This window comes from Homo sapiens, chromosome 18, assembly GCF_000001405.40.
Source record: "Homo sapiens chromosome 18, GRCh38.p14 Primary Assembly".
NCBI lineage: Eukaryota > Metazoa > Chordata > Mammalia > Primates > Hominidae > Homo > Homo sapiens.
In genome coordinates this window covers 23,499,200-23,516,584 of record NC_000018.10, presented here as the reverse complement: position 1 = coordinate 23,516,584, position 17,385 = coordinate 23,499,200, and the positions used below count along the sequence as shown (strand labels likewise).

Here is a 17,385-nt window from a genome sequence, read left to right as displayed (position 1 = left end):
CTATGTTCACAGGACCTATACACTGAATACCCAGAACAAGGGGAGTCCTCCTTATGTGTTCTAGGGGTCAGGGCATCACGTGGTGCTTGTAACACACTCCTTCTATTATTTATATTACTGAAAGCAATCACAGGATGGAATTCTCTCTGACACGGACATACATGGTAGCCATTGCGATGTCTCTTTCGGAAAGGCTGGGTTTAGTTGACTTAGGCGCAGCTGGTAATTCAATCTCAAATTTGGGCAGCTTCGACATAGTGCCAGCCTGTTTAGGGGGAAAATGTTTTAGGAAAAGCTTATTAAACCCCTTCAATGTTTCATCATTCCCTGTGTAAAACCAACAAGGATAAACACAGACTTCGTCTTTGGATCCTTTCCACCGTCCCCCATGTCCTCTCACAGCCTGTCTGCCCAGCATAGAATGAATGGCTCCAGGAGCTGACGGGTATACAGAGTGCCCTCTAGTGGTCAGAGCGGTGACGTTACGGCTAGAGGAACCTGTCCCTAACGTGCCTGACACATTAGGATGCTACAGGAACAGGGGACAACTGGGGAAAGGTGTTTTTTTCAGGGGAGGCTTCCTCTTACCCTAAAGTGAAAAGGCTGCAGGACATTCTCCAGGACCGTGGTAGACAGCAAGATCACGGCGCTCTCGGGGCAGTACATGTACCAATTCACATTGAGATTGTGGCTCTTCAAGAGTTTCAGACTCCGTTTCTCTGGTAATACCTGAAGCAGAGTTTAAGAAACAGGATCTTCATTTAAAAAACGGCAAACTAATCCCAGCACTTTGGGAGGCTAAGGTGGGCGGATCACCTGAGGTCAGGAGTTCGAGACCAGCCTGGACAAAATGGTAAAACCCCATCTCTACTAAAAATACAAAAATTAGCCAGGCGTGGTGGCACATGCCTGTAATTCCAGCTACTCAGAAGGCTGAGGCACAAGAATTGCTTGAATGAACCCAGGAGGCAGAGGTTGCAGTGAGTCAAGATTGCACCATCACACTCCAGCGTGAGTGACAGAGCGAGATTCAGTCTCAATTAATAAATAAATCAATAACAGCAAACTGTCAGAAGATCCTTACAGTGCGCTCTGAGAATAAAAAGCAGAAGAAACCCACTAAGTGAAATGAACATTCTCACTTGTACTTATTACAGCTACTACTTAACCAGCCCTATGCTTGGTGCTTTACAGAGCCTCCTAACTCATTTACTCTTTGCCACGACTGAGAGGCAGGCATCACTGGCCCTATTAGCCAGATGAGAAACAAGGCTCCAAGAGTGGATTAGGGAACCTGCCCCTTAACAAAGCAATTATAGCCTGGGTAGGCTGTTTCCCTCCAAAATCCTTATCTGTGCCTCCACATGCCTGGGCATGTGGAGCACATGGATACACCTAAGAGCAATTTACAACAAATTTCTCCTCATCCAGGAAACGGCCAAAAGAAACTGACACCTCCAGGACCCCATGTGTTAACTCGGCCACCTCCCAGACCATGGCAGATCTGCCTTCTGCTTGGCCTCCACCTCGACTCCAGTCTACACTGGGCCTGGGAGGAGCTCCCTTCTTCTAGCAGATGTGTTCATAAGACTCCATACAAATGCAGTACTTTATAATCCAGGCACATTTTCAATGTACCCTAAATATTCCGATATTACAGAACACTGTACAGAGCCCCCAAGACATTAATGCTCATGGTACACTGCACTGAAGAACTGCTGCGCAAGTCAGGGGCAGGAGCCGTAAGCTTCTTAAGAACTATAATAATTAGGATGTGCTAGAGTCTTCTTTCTTTTTAACTTTTTTCTTGAAGATCTGAAGCCATCTAGGTAACCTTAAGGTATACTTTCCCACTGCAGAGAACAGAAAGACAGACTTTTAAATGATTACCATAGGGAACTCCCCCAGAAAGCAAGCCATCCTTCCCATGCAATCACATGTACAAAATTCTATTTCTGTGTGTATGGAATTTGTCTAAAGTTTGTTTAAAGTTCTCCTATTGGTCATTACAAATTTTTTTTTTTTTTGAGACGGAGTTTCACTCTTGTTGCCCAGGCTGGAGTGCAGTGGCACAATCTCGGCTCACCGCAACCTCCACCTCCCACGTTCAAGGGATTCTTCTGCCTCAGCCTCCCAAGTAACTGGGATTATAGGCGCCCACCACCACACCCAGCTAATTTTTGTATTTTTATTTTGAGACAGTAGAGACGGCACTTAGTAAAGATGGAGTTTAATAGAGACGGGGTTTCGCCATGGCGGCCAGGCTGGTCTCGAACTCCTGACCTCAGATGATCGCCCACCTCGGCCTCCCAAAGTGCTAGGATTACAGGCATGAGCCACCGTGCCCAGCCAGTCATTACTAAGATTTCGATGATGGCCTTACAGCAAAGCACCATGGCATTAACACACAGGTGTATTTTCTCTAACCATACATTCTAAATTATATGACTTTCATTAGGTCAACAAAATTAAAACCTGAAAGAACTCTTAACACCCTCTAAATTAGTTCCCCTTAGAGATCTCAGAAGCATGCTTAATAGGTCAGGAAGCTGGAACAGATGAAAAGAAACAGGCAGGTACATCAAAGGACACAATCCACAGAGTGGAAAGGCAACCTCCGGATTCGGAGAAAATACTTGCAAATTGTATCTCTAAGAAGGTGTTAATATCAGAATATATAAAGAACTACAATTCAACAAATAATAGTAATTTGATTTTAAAAATAGGCACAATGACCCGAATTAGTCATTTCTCCAAAGATGATACACAAAGTGGCCAAAACACACACACAAAAGTGCTCAACATCACTAATCAACAAAGAGCGCAAATCAAAACCACAATTAAGATGGCTAGTATCAAAAACAAAACAAAACAAAACAGCAAGTGTTGGTGAGGATATGGAGAAACTGGGACCCTTGTACACTTGGAGGGATTGCAAAATGGTGTAACTGCTATGGAAAACAGTATAGCGGTTCCCTAAAATATTCAGAAACAGAACTACCATCTGCTCCAGCAATCTCACTCTGGGTATAAATCTAAAAGAACTGAAAACGGGATCTTGAAGCGGTATCTGCATACCTGTATTGACAGCAGCACTATTCACAATGGCCAAGAGGCAGAAGCAACCCAAATGTCCCTCAACAGATGAATGGATAAGCAAAATGTGGTGTATACGCTCAGTGCGGTATTATCAGTCTTAAAAAGGAAACCCTATCACATGCTATGGCATGGGGGAACCTGTAGGAAATTATGGTAGATGAAATAAGCCAGTCACAAAGGGACAAATACTGTATAATTTCACTTATATGAAGTATAAAAGGTAATCAAATTCGGCCGGACACAGTGGCTCACGCCTGTAATCCCAGCACTTTGGGAGGCTGAGGTGAGTGGATCACCTGAAGTCAGGAGTTCAAGACCAGCTTGGCCAACATGGTGAAATCCCATCTCTACCAAAAATACAAAAATTAGCCAGGCGTGGTGGCGCACACCTGTAATCCCAGCTATTCAGGAAGCTGAGACAGGAGAATCGCCTGAACCCAGGAGACAGAGGTTGCAGTGAGCTGAGATCACGCCACTGCACTCCAGCCTGGGCAACAGAGCAAGACTCCATCTTAAAAAAAAAGGAGTCAAATTCATAGAAACAGAAAGTAAAATAGAGATTGCTGGGGCTGCAGGGAAGGGATAAGGGGAGTTGTTTACTGGATAGTTTTGGTTTCACAAGATGAAAAAAGTTCTGGAGCTATTTCATAACAATGTGAATGAATATACTTAACACTACTGAACTGAACACTTAAAAACAGTTAAGATAATAAATGTTGTATGTTTTTTTACCACAGTAAAAAAAATATTTTTGACCACACACAGTGGCTCATGCCCATAAATCCCAGCACTCTGGGAGGCCAAGGCAGAAGAATGGCTTGAACCTAGGAGTTCAAGACCAGTCTAGGCAACACAGCAAGACCTCATCTCTACAAAAAAAAAAAAAGGAAAAAAAAATTAAGTTGGGCGTGCTGGCACACACCTGTAGTTCCAGCTACTCAGGAAGCTGAGGTGGGAGGACTACGTGAGGCTAGGAGGTCGAGGCTGCAGTGAGCCGTGATTGTGCCACTGTACTCCAGCCTGGGTGACAGAGATCCTGTCTCAAAATAATTATTACAAAATAAAAAAATTTTAAGAGGAAGTTAACAAAATACAAATGGACAATATACAAATGAAAAGATGCTTACTTCCCTAGTAATGTAAAATGCAAATTAAAATGTCTTTCGGCCAGGCATGGTGGCTCACGCCTGTAATCCCAGCACTTTAGGGGGCCGAGATAGGTGGATTATTTGAGGCCAGGGGTTCAAGACCAGCCTGGCCAACATGGTGAAACCCCACCTCTTCTAAAAATACAAAAATTAGCCAGGCGTGGTGCTGGGCGCCTGTAGACCCAGCTACTTGGGAGGCTGAGGCAGGAGAATTGCTTGAACCCAGGAGGTGGAGGTTGCCGTGAGCCGAGATCGCACCATTGCACTCCAGCCTGGGCGACGGAGTGAGACTCTGTCTCAGAAAAAAAAAAAAAAAAAAAAGTCTTTCTACCTCTCAGGTTGGCAAATGTCTATAGACTGATAATATCCAGTCCTCCTAAAGGTATGAAAAGCAGAAGTTCCTATATTGCTAGTGAAAATACACATGTCTAGAAGAAATTTGGCGATACTGGTTCAGCTTTTCAGATGTTCGTACCTATACTGCAACTCTCCCTCTAATATAAAGAAGTGTGTACAAGCATGTTACTGAAGGGTTATTTGTAATCACAAAAAAATGGAAAACCAGCCAATGTCCAATAACAAGAAAATTTTTAAACTGCAGTCCATCCATACAGTGGAATACTACCCAGTCAGAATAAAATATAGAAAGATGTCCAAGATACACTTTGGACAAAAAAAAAAAAAGCTAGCTGCAAAAGTTTATATACAACATTCCCCTTTTTGTTAAAAAGAAGTTTGTATTTATTTTTAAAAATAGAGGAATATGCACCAAACTGTTCATAATAATTATTTATCGGGATTATAGGGAACATTTGCTTTCCATATTACATATCTTGCAATGTTTGAATGTTTTTTGTTTTAACTTTTAGGTTCAGGGATAGATGTGAAGGTTTGTTACATACGTAAACTCATGTCACGGGGTTTGTGGTACAGATTATTTCATCACCCAGGTATTAAGTCCAGTACCCAATAGTTATCTTTTCTGCTCCTCTCCCTCCTCCCACCCTCCCCTGCTCAAGTAGCCCCCCGTGTCTGTTGTTTCCTTCTTTGCATTCATAACTTACATTTAGCTCCCACTTAGAAGTGAGATCATGTGGTATTTGGTTTTCTGTTCCTGTGTTAGTTTGCTAAGGATGATGGCCTCCAGCTCCATCCATGTTCCCACAAAAGACATGATCTTGTTCATTTTTATGGCTGCATAGTATTCCATGGTATATATGTACCACATTTTCTTTATCCAATCTGTCACTGATGGGCATTTAGGATGATTCCATGTCTTTGCCATTGTGAACAGTGCTGCAATGAACATTCACGTGCATGTGCCTTTATGGTAGAATAATTTATATTCCTCTGCATATTACACCCAGTAATGGGGCTGCTAGGTCAAACAGTAGTTCTGCTTTTAGCTCTCTGAGGAATCGCCATACTGTTTTCCACAAAGGTTGAACTAATTTACACTCCCAGCAATAGTGCATAAGGGTTCCCTTTTCTCCACAACCTTGCCAGTATCTGTTATTCTTTGACTTTTTTATAATGGCTATGCTGACTAGTGTGAGATAGTTTCTCATTGTGGTTTTGATTTGCATTTCTCTAATGATCAGTGATGTTGAGCTCTTTTATGTTTGTTGGTCGCATGTGTGTCTTCTTTTAAAAAGTGTCTGCTCATGTCCTTTGCCCACTTTTTTTTTTTTGAGACGGAGTCTCGCTCTGTTGCCCAGGCTGGAGTGCAGTGGCACCATCTCAGCTCACTACAAGCTCCGCCTTCCAGGTTCAAGCAATTCCCTGGCCTCAGCCTCCCTAGTAGCTGGGATTACAGGTGCCTGCCACCAACCTGGCTAATTTTTGTATTTTTAATAGAGACAGGGTTTCGTCATGTTGGCCATGCTGGTCTCGAACTCCTGACCTCAGGTGATCTGCCCACCTCGGTCTCCCAAAGTGCTGGGATTACAGGTGTGAGCCACTGTACCTGGCCTTTGCCCACTTTTTAATGTTGTTGTGTTTTTGTTTTTTTTTTTGAGATGGGGTCTCACTGTCATCCAGGCTGGAGTGCAGTGCTGTGATCTTGGCTCACTGCAACCTCCTGCCTCCCAGGCTCAAGCAATCCTCCCACTTCAGCCTCCCAAGTAGCTGGGACTACAGGCGCACACCACCATGCCTGACTAACATTTTGTATTTTTTATAGAGATGGGATTTCATCATGTTGGCCTGGCTGGTCTCAGACTCCTGGACTCAAGCCATCCACCCACCTTGGCCTTCCAAAGAGCTGGAATTACAGGCATGGGCCACCAAGCCCTTTTTCTTTTCTTTTTTTTTTTTTTAATTTATTACTTGCAATTATAAAAAAAAAAAAAAAGAATAAAATCCCCAGCAAGAGACTAAAGCTGAGTGGCCAAGGCAGGAGTTGAGGTTAGGAGTTTGACACCAGCCTGGGCAACATAGCAAGACTTCGTCTCTACAAAAAAGTTTAAAAATTAGCCAGGGCCGGGCGCAGTGGCTCACGCCTGTAATCCCAGCACTTTGGGAGGCCGAGGCGGGTGGATCACCTGAGGTCGGGAGTTCGAGACCAGTCTCAACATGGAGAAATCCCGTCTCTACTAAAAATACAAAATTACCCGGGCATGGTGATGCATGCCTGTAATCCCATCTACTCACGAGGCTGAGACAGGAGAATCGCTTGAACCTGGGAGGCGGAGGTTGCGGTGAGCCGAGATCGCGCCATTGCACTCCACCAGCCTGGGCAACAAGAGCGAAACTCCGTCTCAAAAATAAAATAAAATAAAATAAAATAATAAAAAGAAAAATTAGCCAGGCATGGTGGTACATGCCTGTAGTCCCACCTACTCAGGAGACTGAGGCAGGAGGATTGCTTGAGCCCAGGAGTTTGAGATTACAGTGAGCCATGATGGTGCCACTGCACTGCAGCCTGGGCAACAGAGCAAGACTCCATCTCTAGAAAATGTTTAAAATATATATATATATATTCAGTACTGAATTCAAAAGGCTGCCAGAATGCTATCACTGAACTTTAACCAACAAACATAAATGATAAACATAATACCTGGTAAAATTCGATTCCTTGATCTGTTATGAAGACAATTTCAGTTGAACTAGTCCAGCAGAATCCTAGAATGTTGGCATTCTTAGTCTAAGAAAAATTTTTTAAAAATATTTTTAATTAATAAGAAAAAACACATATAACTCTCTTCAAAAGCTTCACAAACTCTGCAGTTTGTCATTCTTTAATGAACGTTCCCCGGAATGTTTACTAATTAACAAAACAAATTTTCTTTTAAATACAATGTTCCCTGATTTTTGCCCATAACTCTTCATTCAAGAACCTGAATCCTAATTCCTTCTACTAAACAGAACAGGAGAAGTCTGTGTTTTGTAGAAAAGTAACTGACCAGAGCTCACAGACAGCAGCTTCTACCTGCAGGAATCACCATACTGCCAACATTCTTAGTCACCCACGTTATAAAAATGGTTATTAAAAATGTACAAAGGCCTAAGGGTCTTTAGTGAGTGTTGACTAAAATGGGTTGAGGACCCTGAGACACACACCCGACTCGCTTGAGGGCAGACAGGTTTGAGAAGGGCCGGGCTGAGGGTCTCTTCACACGGGGCCACTGCAGGGCAGGCAGGACAGTGGTGGGGATGCACCTCTCCTCACCAAAGAGTCCGCCCTGAACTCCATTGAGCAAAACAGTCACAAAAATGCAGAAAGCCCTACCCCAACCACTAGCAGCTTCTGTCAGCGCCCAAGGTGCCACACTGCCAATTTTAGCTCAGCTCCCTCTAGCCTAGTTTACTACACCCAGCAAATCTCATTAATGTGGATTAGAATCAACACCTAGGAGAAGAAAGAAAGAGTAAGGACAAGACAAAGACAACAAATTGAGGAAAGGAAACTTCAGGAAACAGAAAAAGAAACTCCTCACCAGAAACCTCCACTCCAGGTGGCTGTGAGGCATCCCAGGGCCCAGACCCAGATGTGCTGTCAGCCCAGTGAGGAGAAAAAGGGCAAGACAGACGACAGCCCCAAGGGCTAGCACTACTGGGTGTTCACCACGCATCATCCATTGAACCCTCCCCCTCCAAAGGAACAAGCTTTCAAACTTAGAAAACTGTTCAGTGTCACAAAGCAAACACCCCGCCTGACTCCAGTTTGGGAATCAACATGAGGGACAGTCTGACTTCAAGTCTGTGCTCCCTGCGACCCCAATGCCCCGCTCTCCACTACATAACCCAGCTCAACACCACTGACACCAGCAGCTGAGAAAGGGCCTGGGGTCATACCTTGCACTCCTGTGTGTATTCCAGCTGGGAATTATCAGGGATAAAATTACAAAAATCCTGAAAGGAAAAACACACAGACACACACAAATTTGGATTAGGCAGCATACTGCCAACCTACGTTGGCATACTACAAGACAAGAAAAATAAATATTAACTTAAAAAGTGACCAGAAAATAACTGAAGACAACCAAAACACAGGAAAGATAAAAAGACCAATTCGGATCATCTGTCTCAACAGCAGCAGGCTTACGATTCAATTTTTTTTAAGTTAATACAAATATTCAGTTACAGTTTAGTAACTCCTTTCAAAAATTCATTCCTCAAGCAGCTGATGTCAGAGAAATGTGTTGCTGCACTAAGAGGCTTCCCCAAGACTTTAACACTTAAAACTGATGGAAGAAACTAACAGAGGATTCTGCCTGTTTCTAACAGCCTTCCCTCTACTCTACAAACGGCAATGGTGAACATTTACACGGGCTAAAGTGCCTGTAGGCTGCTTCAACTTGGAATATCTGCTCCTATCAGATCTAGCACTCAGAAATGAGAGATGAAAAGGCTAATTCACAAAGTAGCCAAAAATACCTCACATATTCTATGCTGCTATCAAGCAATACAAAAGACACATGAAGTTCCAAATTATTTTTTAACAATTTTTAAGGGAGACTGAGGCGAGAGAATCACTTGAGCCTGAGAGATCGAGGCTGCAGTGAGCCGAGATCACATCACTGCACTCCAGCCTGGGCAACAAAGGAAGACTGGCTCAAAAAAAAATTTTTAATTTAATTTAAAAATCAAACTAAGGTCATTTTTTTAACCCACTCAAATGTCTTTTTCGTTTTTGAAGGCTCTAATACAATGCAACATAACTATACCTTTCACAACAGTAAGATAATAAAAGTTTCCTTTAACACTGAAAATTTGCGATTCCTTCTCTTCCAAATGTATTTCTAATGCCCTTTAATGCTGTATTTTAAAGATAAGTCTTACCACAGTCTTTGAGGTCCTCTGAACAGCCAATATCTTATTTTCTAAGGAAAACTTAATGCACTTCACTTCTCCTTTGTCATCCATTCTTTAAGAAGAAAGATTGTGTTAGTAGTTAAATAACCGAATTCTAGCTACTACCATTTATTGAAAAGGCAAAAGACACAATCTATATTCAGGAGGCAGCAAATTCTAGTCTAAAATTAAAATTATGTTTCGGAAGCCATCAGTAGGACCTCTTTTCAAACTACCAAATCCAACTGGAAAGAACTTGCTGGGAAACTTACAGTATTATGGGTAACAAGTGATTGAAGAATTCAGATCACACACACATATCACCTGAGAATTGTTCCAACATAAATAACTATAGACCCGCTCAGGAGCCTTCTCCGTAACTGCTGTTTCTCTCTCACAGCAAAGCTTCTGGAAAGAACTATCTACTTGTGCATCTCACAGCACATTCATTATGCAACCCAGATGGCTCCACTACAGTGTCTCATGACCGCCTCAGACAGATGTTAAAAAGTGAACTCAGCTGGGCACAGCGGCCTACACCTGTAATCCCAGCACTGTGAGAGGATGAAGCAGGAGGATCACAGGAATTCGAGACCAGCCTCAGCAACACAGTGAGACCCCGTCTCTATTCCAATACATACATTTTTTAAATTAAAAATTCATTTAAAAAAAAAAAACTCAAGGGATGGATTACAGAAGGGCCCAAGGAAACTTTTCGGGGTCTGAACATGTTCATTGCCTTGATTGTGGTGATGGTTTCATGGGTGTATACATGTCAAAACTCACATATTGCATAATATTAAGTGTGTACAGTTTATTATGTGTCAACTATGCCTCAATAAAGCTGCTTTTAAAAATCTTTTTTTTTTTTTTTTTGAGACGGAGTCTTGCTCTGTTGCCCAGGCTACAGTGCAGTGGCATGATCTCGGCTCACTGCAACCTCTGCCTCTCGGGTTCACGTGATTCTCCTGCCTCAGCGTTCCGAGTAGCTGGGATTACAGGCACGTGCCACCACACCTGGCTAATTTTTGTATTTTTAGTAGAGACAGGGTTTCACCATGCTGGCCAGGCTGGTCTCGAACTCCTGATCTCAAGTGATCCACCCGCCTCGGCCTCCCAAAGTGCTGGGATTACAGGCATGAGCCACCGCGCCCAGTCTAAAAACTCTTTTTAAGTTAAATTCAGTACCTTCCCCCCACCCACAAACTTCTTAGAGCCCCCAATCTAGATTATCACGGGCTCACTCGTTTTCCACACCCAACCGACCCCCGGGTCTTACGAGAGACCCATCTTCCTAAGTATCCCTTGATTGCCTATGCAATGCCACTCTACACCACCAGAGCGCTGCTCTTCACCACACATGGCTCGCTGATTGCTACTCTCCATAGCATCCCTAACTCTGACAGGCTCCCAACTAAGCCAGCCTCCGTGCTGTGAACAGCATGATCTTGCCAAACACTGACATGATCATCCCACACCCCACCTGATAAGTTTCAATAAGAAGATAAAGCTCTAATTTCATAGGAGAATATGTAAGGTTCAAGCTGGCCCCTGCCAGTGGCCACACCACCACCATTTCCCCTTCCCTGTGGAGACACCCTATGTAACCTTCAGTTACACAGACCCAGAGTTCCCCAAAACACCATGCTCGAACCCCATCCATACTTTAAAACCTTGCTCAGGCCGGGTGCAGCGGCTCATGCCTGTAATCCTAGCACTGTGGGAGTCTGAGGCGGGCGGATCGTTTTGAGGTCAGGAGTTCGAAACCAGCCTGGCCAACACGGTGAAACCCCATCTCTACTAAAAATACAAAAAAAATTAGCCGGGCGTGGTGGTGGGCGCCTCTAATCCCAGCTACTTGGGAAGCTGAAGCAGGAGAATCACTTGAACCTGGGAGGCGGAGGTTGCAGTCAGCCAAGATCGCACCACTGCACTCCACCCTGGGGAACAGAGGGAGGCTCCCTCTCAAAAAAGGACAGTTTCTCATTAACACAGACCAACAGTAAAATTTTTTAAGTCACTACTGAATTGAGGGCCTACATTATACTTTCACCTTCTGTAAGCACCAGTGTTACAGTGGCCAGATAGCTTATCATCCAAATCGAGACACTTCTGAAAGTGAAAGGCCCTGCTGTTGATCATTAAACCTGTTCAACAGTGCGAACTGGGACTATGCAGTCACCTTAAGTATAGTGGAAGCCATGATTTTCTTGTATTATTACATGAGAAACAATGAATCTCCTCCACCTGCCACTCTGGAAAGACCTGGGCTAAAGAAATGAACGCCCTCCTCTGTGAACAAACCAGAAATGGGCACATCATCACGCTGACTTGTTAATTTCCAGTGCTAGGAAGTGGCTGCCCCACTTTTGAAGTATTTGGCTCCCAAATCAACTGCTCCAGATATTCCACTCTGACAAGAGGTGCTAGTAAGTGCCACGAAGACCCTCCCTACAGACAGGAATTCCATGTGCGCACACAGACTTCAGGCCTCTTAGGGCAGACCAAATGACAAAATTATAAAAAACCATTTGAATTAGAAAAACATCATTCTGTTTACATGACAAAATGATCTGAAAGTGTCTATACCATTACCTAAATGAGATGGGATTCCTATCATCTGGGCCTTTAACTACCACGCCAGTAGCTCCACCAGATCGAACAGCAAAAACCTGAGAGGGAAAAGCAGCAAGGTTAACAGCCTGAACTCTGAAAGGATCTAAACTCAGAAGCCAACCCGCAAGCGATTATTTCTGTTATACACCACCCTGGGTTCAACTAAAGTAACACGGCACATATCAAGGTACAGATGTTTGGCTGCTCAGGTGAATTTTAAAAACCAAGAGCAGAGAGCGAAAAGGATGCCACCGTGACACCGGGTCGGGTTCCCGAGGCTCCAAGTTCTAACACCGGTTCGCGCATCGGCGCCGCTGATACGCCTGAAGTACAGTCTTTTCCCCCTTTACAAAATTTCAAGGAAAATGAAAATCTCGACGTCTAAACCCTTGACTACGAGTGTAACTAATGACAAACACAACAAAAGAAGCCTAGATAAGACGGGCGCGCCAACAATTGAGACACTGGCCACGGGGCCACTGCATCCGCGCAGCTGGCTCGGGGGTCCAGCCCCGAGGTCACCTGCGAGGACACCTGGCCGCGGCTGAGCCCACCCAACAAGGAAGGAGCGCGCGCCGCCTCCCGCGCTGGGACGGGACGGGACAGGACAGGAGGGGACGCTCGGGCCTGGTCGCGCGGGACCGGCCTTGGCGCGCCCACGACCCCGGCAGGGCCGCGCGGGGGAGGAAGCGCGGGCGCGCCGGACCTGCTTGTTGGCCTCATCGAAGAAGACGCAGTTGACAGGGTTCGCCTTCTCGAACTGCACCGGCCGCTCGCACAGCTCCAGATAGTAGTCCTCCTCGCCCATGGCGGGCGCCGCGCCCGCGGCGGGGGCCCCGGGGGCGGTCGCCAGAGTGGAGCAGGATGCGCGGTGGAGCCCGGCCCGGACTGTAGCGGCGGCTGCGGCTGCGGCTCTGGGCCCGGCGCGGACGCCGCTTCCTGGTGCCACGCCCCCACCCCGCCCACCACGTGACCCGCGGCCCTCTGCGCTTAAACGGGCAGCGTCTGGCTGCGGTGGGGCCCACCGGCCTTAACCACGCCCCGCCCGGCGCTGGAGGCTCCTCCCCTCTCCCCGAGGGCGGTCGGAACGCGGCGGCGTGACCCGGAAGCCCGCGTGGTTCCCCGCGGACCGAGGGCGGCGTAGCCGCCAACCCTACCCTGCTGCGAGTTCCTGTGCCCGGCTCGGTCGCCCCTGCCCCAACCTGTACCCCCGCGTGGGACCGCTCCCGGTCTAGGAAAGGCTCCTCCTTGCTTTCGGGAGGATTTCCCAAGTGCCTCCCGCGCCAGAGTTCCAGCCTCTGGGAGCTTCGTCAGGGAGAAGGGGCTGAAGGCTCACTGAGCAGGTGTAGGGGCGCCAGAGACCGTCTCCAGTCCCCTCAGCGCTTCTGCGGGCTCTTCCGCTGGAGCCAGAAACCGAATTGACAAGAGGCAGATAAACAAAAGAAAAGCATACACACTTTATTAGTTTTTCATGGGGACCTTCAAAAGAGAGTGAGGTCTGAAGAAGTGGCCACAGCAAGATGCTTTTATACTTTTTAGACAAAGAATGATGCATTTGAGAAGAAAGCACAAAAGGCATCTGGCTGGGGCGATACATTTCTAAGAGAGTCACTAGGAGAAATATTGGGGAGGGTGTAAAATTAGTGGAAGGTAAGTGTTACTTGGGAAGTTCATTTATTCAGGTCCATTGCAGCCCCAACTCCCAGTCTCTGGTGATAAGGGCTATTTTCTGACCCGGGTACAGAGAGGGTGCCACTCCCAGAGGAATCTTTACTGCTTATTCCCTGTAGGAAACGACAGGTCATCTAGCCCTTTCTGAAACTACAATTTCTCCGGTGTTTTTAGCTCAAAATAATATACCAATTTTTGGACATATTTTGGGATAGCACATCCTTCACTCCTTGCTAGTAACAGGGAAACCTAATATAGATTGTGGGTCAGCAAGCCTTTTTACTTGATAAGAAACATGAAATTTACCATGTTAGCCCCTCTTTTTTTGTTTGTTTCAGAGACAGAGTGTCTCTGTGCCCAGGCTGGAGAGCAGTGATGCGAACACGGCTCACTGCAGTCTCAACCTCCCATCTCAGCCTCACAAGTAGCTGGGACCACGGGTGCATGCCACCACACCTGGCTCATTTTTTTATTATTATGCTTTGTAGAGACAGCGTTCTCTGTTGCCCAGGCTGGTCTCAGACTCCTGGCCTCAAGTGATTCTCTCGCTGACCGTGCTCAGCCCCCATGTTAACCCTTTATTTTTATTGTTTATTTTATTTTATTTTGAGACGGAATTTCGTTCTTGTTGCCCAGGCTGGAGTGCAATGGCCCTGTCTCGGTTCACTGCAACCTCCACCTCCCGGGTTCAAGCGATTCTCCCGCATCAGCCTCCCAAGTAGCTGGGATTACAGGCACCTGCCACCATGCCCAGCTAATTTTTTTGTGTGTATTTTTAGCAGAGACCGGGTTTCACCATGTTGGCCAGGCTGGTCTCCAACTCCTAACCTCAGGTGATCTGCCCACCTTGGCCTCCCACAGTGATGAGATTACAGGCATGAGCCACCGCGCCCGGCCCCGTGTTAACCCTTTTTGAGGTGTTCAGTAGTATCAGGCATATTCACATTATTGTGAAATACGTTTCCAGAAACTTTTTATCTTGCAAATCTGATTCTGTCCCTAAATTTGACTACTCTAAGTATCTCATATAAGTGGATTTTATAGTATTTGTCCATTAGTGTCTGGCTTCTTTTGCTTAGCAAAATATCCTCAAGGTTCATCCATGTAGCATGTGTCAGGATTTCCTTCCTTCATTAAGGCCGAAAAAGATTCCATTTTATGTATATAGCACATTTTGTTTATCCATTCGTCTGTTGATGGGCATGTGGGTTGTTCCCACCTTTGGCTGTTGTGAATAAAGCTATGCAAATATCTGTTCAATATTCTGTTTTTAATTCTTTTGGGTCTATACCCAAAAGTTGGATTACTGGATCATATGGTAGTTCTATTTCTCAGAGAGCTATTTTTGAGTGGCTTTGATGTCTGAGCCCAGGAGTTTGGTTTGGAGCATGTGAATCCAAGGAGAAATGACATCTAGGCAGATGGATATATTGGTCTGAAACTCATCAGAGGAGTGACAAGACTGGAAATGTAAGACTTCTACACTCAGCCTCACCCACCCAGGCCCATGTCACACATGGAAAAACCGATAACTCCAGAACCCTGCTCTCCAGCCACACAGTGCCATCCCTGCAGCTGGCTTGTTTAGCTGCTCCCTGTGACTCTTCCTCAACATCACCAGTTTGCCCTGTCATTGTTCTGTCCTCTCTACCCAAGTCTATCTGCCCTCTCCTCTCTTCCCTTCCCTCCTCATCAGCTTTGATTTCATTTCTCTGCATTCCAGTTATTTTTTGCCATTACCTTCAACATCCTTGCTGCACTGTTCTTGTCTGGCAGAGCCTCAGTCCTGGATGAACTCAGCCACCTGCTTTCCCAGTACCTACTGCTGGAGGGGTCACACAACAGGACAGAGGGCACTGCGGGAAATTCAAATGGGCCCTCAGCCCTGCCTGGCTGTCCCAGTCATTGTCTCTCCTGTTCTCTGCAAGGATATTTTCAGGCCTTCTTCACACTCCTCAGACTGTCTCGCCCCTATTTCCATGAACATCGAGGACTTCAGATGGAAACTGGGCTTCATACCAGTTGTGCAGCGCACCACGGCTGTCCTTCTAGAAAACGGTCCATCCTGCCCAAGGCCAAACCCTGTTTTTATTTATTTATTTATTTATTTATTTGATGGAGTTTTGCTCTTGTTCCTCTTGTTGCCCAGGCTGGAGTGCAGTGGCACAATCTTGGCTCACTGCAACCTCTACCTCTCGGTTCAAGTGATTCTCCTGCCTCAGCCTCCCGAGTAGCTGGGATTACAGGCATGCGCCACCACACCCGGCTAATTTTGTATTTTCAGTAGAGACAGGGTTTCTCCATGTTGGTCAGGCTGGTCTCGAACTCCCAACCTCAGGTGATCCACCCCCCTTGGCCTCCCAAAGTGCTGAGATTACAGGCATGAGCCACCGCGCCTAGCCCAAACCCTCTTTATTTTTATTTTTTCACAAATACCACAGTGACTTACCAGCACTTCTTTGAATTCCATCTTTCGGCTGGGTGCAGTGGCTCATGCCTGTAATCCTAGCACTTTGGGAAGCTGAGGCAGGTGGATCACCTGAGGTCAAGAGTTCGAGACCAGCCTGGCCAACATGGTGAAACCCCGTCTCTACTAAAAATACAAAAAAATTAGCCGGCTGTGGTGGTGAGTGCTGGTAATCCCAGCTACTTGGGAGGCTGAGGCAGGAGAATCGCTTGAACCCGGGAGTTGCAGGTTGCAGTGAGCCAAGATCGTGCCATTGCACTCCAGCCTGGGCAACAAGTGGAACAAGAGCGAAACTCCATCTCAAAAATAAATAAATACATACATACATACAGGGTTTGGCCTGTTTATATAAACAGGAGGCAGAAGTTGCAATGAGCAGAGATCACATCACTGCACTCCAGCCTGGGTGACAGAGCGAGACTCTGTCTCAAAAAAAAAAAAATTTAAAAAATTTAAAAAATGAATTCCATATTTCACCTTCTCAAAAAAACCTACAGTATTGACCATCCCGTTTCTCTCATATAGGCAACCTCTCCTCACTCCTGCTCCTAGAAGCAGCCTTTATATTTGCTCATCTCTCCCATCATAAAAACAAAACAAAAACAGAACTGAAAACACAGAGGACTTCCCTAAACACACGTCCCTGTCTGGCTATCACTGCCTTCCTCTACTTCACAGTGAACAGGAGTCAGTCTTGACCCATCCCCACTCCGACCCCTCATGCCCAAGCAGGCACAGGCCATCAGCTTAGGTACAAGTTTAGAAAAAGAGACTTCCAAGAAAACCCAAGCTACTCCACAGAAGTGCATATTTCGAACATGACCCCACAGGAATGTCTGCCAAGGACAGGGCAGCAGTGCAGTGTGTGCGCGTGTGTGCGCGTGTGTGTATGCGTGCCTGTGTGCGCATGCATCACACTTAAAAAAGACTATGGTCTTTTTATGACACCAGGCATCTCGTCCTTCCCAGAGAATTCAGTTTGGTTGACTCTGGCAGATGTTTTTGTCCTAAGAGCCAGGCTTGATTGTTGTGCAGTTCGCCTTGGGTCTGCAAGCAGCATTGAGGTCTGCCTGCATGTTATGGGTTGAA

The 17,385-nt window shown here is 45.9% G+C and overlaps 2 protein-coding genes across 10 annotated transcripts in view, besides 4 other annotated features; one reads left to right on the top strand and one right to left on the bottom strand.

Moving 5' to 3' along the window:
* The window catches only part of NPC1 (NPC intracellular cholesterol transporter 1), an 80,323-nt gene extending 69,922 nt beyond the window's left edge, over window positions 1–10,401 (top strand). For both annotated transcript variants that reach the window (XM_005258279.3, XM_005258277.1), the window contains exon 25: window positions 9,943–10,401. In XM_005258279.3, coding sequence (XP_005258336.1) covers window positions 9,943–10,049 — 107 coding nt within the window. In that variant the 3' untranslated portion in view covers window positions 10,050–10,401. The remainder of the gene's footprint in view (window positions 1–9,942) is intronic.
* RMC1 (regulator of MON1-CCZ1) overlaps window positions 1–13,115 on the bottom strand; it is a 28,353-nt gene extending 15,238 nt beyond the window's left edge. For 2 of the 8 annotated variants that reach the window (NM_001276342.1, NM_001318709.1), the window contains exons 1-5: window positions 12,865–13,115; window positions 12,138–12,214; window positions 9,531–9,615; window positions 589–729; window positions 162–265 (exon numbers count right to left, since the gene is read on the bottom strand). In NM_001276342.1, the coding sequence (NP_001263271.1) occupies window positions 162–265; window positions 589–729; window positions 9,531–9,615; window positions 12,138–12,214; window positions 12,865–12,966 (509 nt within the window). In that variant the 5' untranslated portion in view covers window positions 12,967–13,115. Of the gene's footprint in view, window positions 1–161; window positions 266–588; window positions 730–7,305; window positions 7,393–8,543; window positions 8,601–9,530; window positions 9,616–12,137; window positions 12,215–12,864 lie in introns of those variants that run through there. The other 6 variants (XM_047437488.1, NM_013326.5, NM_001318708.1 and 3 more) reach the window with 6 other exon arrangements.
* Window positions 10,614–11,117: an enhancer, noted in NCBI's record as "NANOG hESC enhancer chr18:21085432-21085935 (GRCh37/hg19 assembly coordinates)". NCBI's record gives its function as "activates a minimal SCP1, AML or CMV promoter by ChIP-STARR-seq in naive H9 embryonic stem cells {active_cell/tissue: H9 hESC(naive)}" and the evidence as "EXISTENCE:reporter gene assay evidence [ECO:0000049][PMID:30033119]".
* Window positions 12,363–12,462: an enhancer, noted in NCBI's record as "active region_13162". NCBI's record gives its function as "activates an Ori minimal core promoter by ATAC-STARR-seq in GM12878 lymphoblastoid cells {active_cell/tissue: GM12878}" and the evidence as "EXISTENCE:reporter gene assay evidence [ECO:0000049][PMID:35858748]".
* Window positions 12,713–13,362: a silencer, noted in NCBI's record as "silent region_9357". NCBI's record gives its function as "represses an Ori minimal core promoter by ATAC-STARR-seq in GM12878 lymphoblastoid cells {active_cell/tissue: GM12878}" and the evidence as "EXISTENCE:reporter gene assay evidence [ECO:0000049][PMID:35858748]".
* Window positions 17,156–17,385: an enhancer, noted in NCBI's record as "active region_13161". NCBI's record gives its function as "activates an Ori minimal core promoter by ATAC-STARR-seq in GM12878 lymphoblastoid cells {active_cell/tissue: GM12878}" and the evidence as "EXISTENCE:reporter gene assay evidence [ECO:0000049][PMID:35858748]".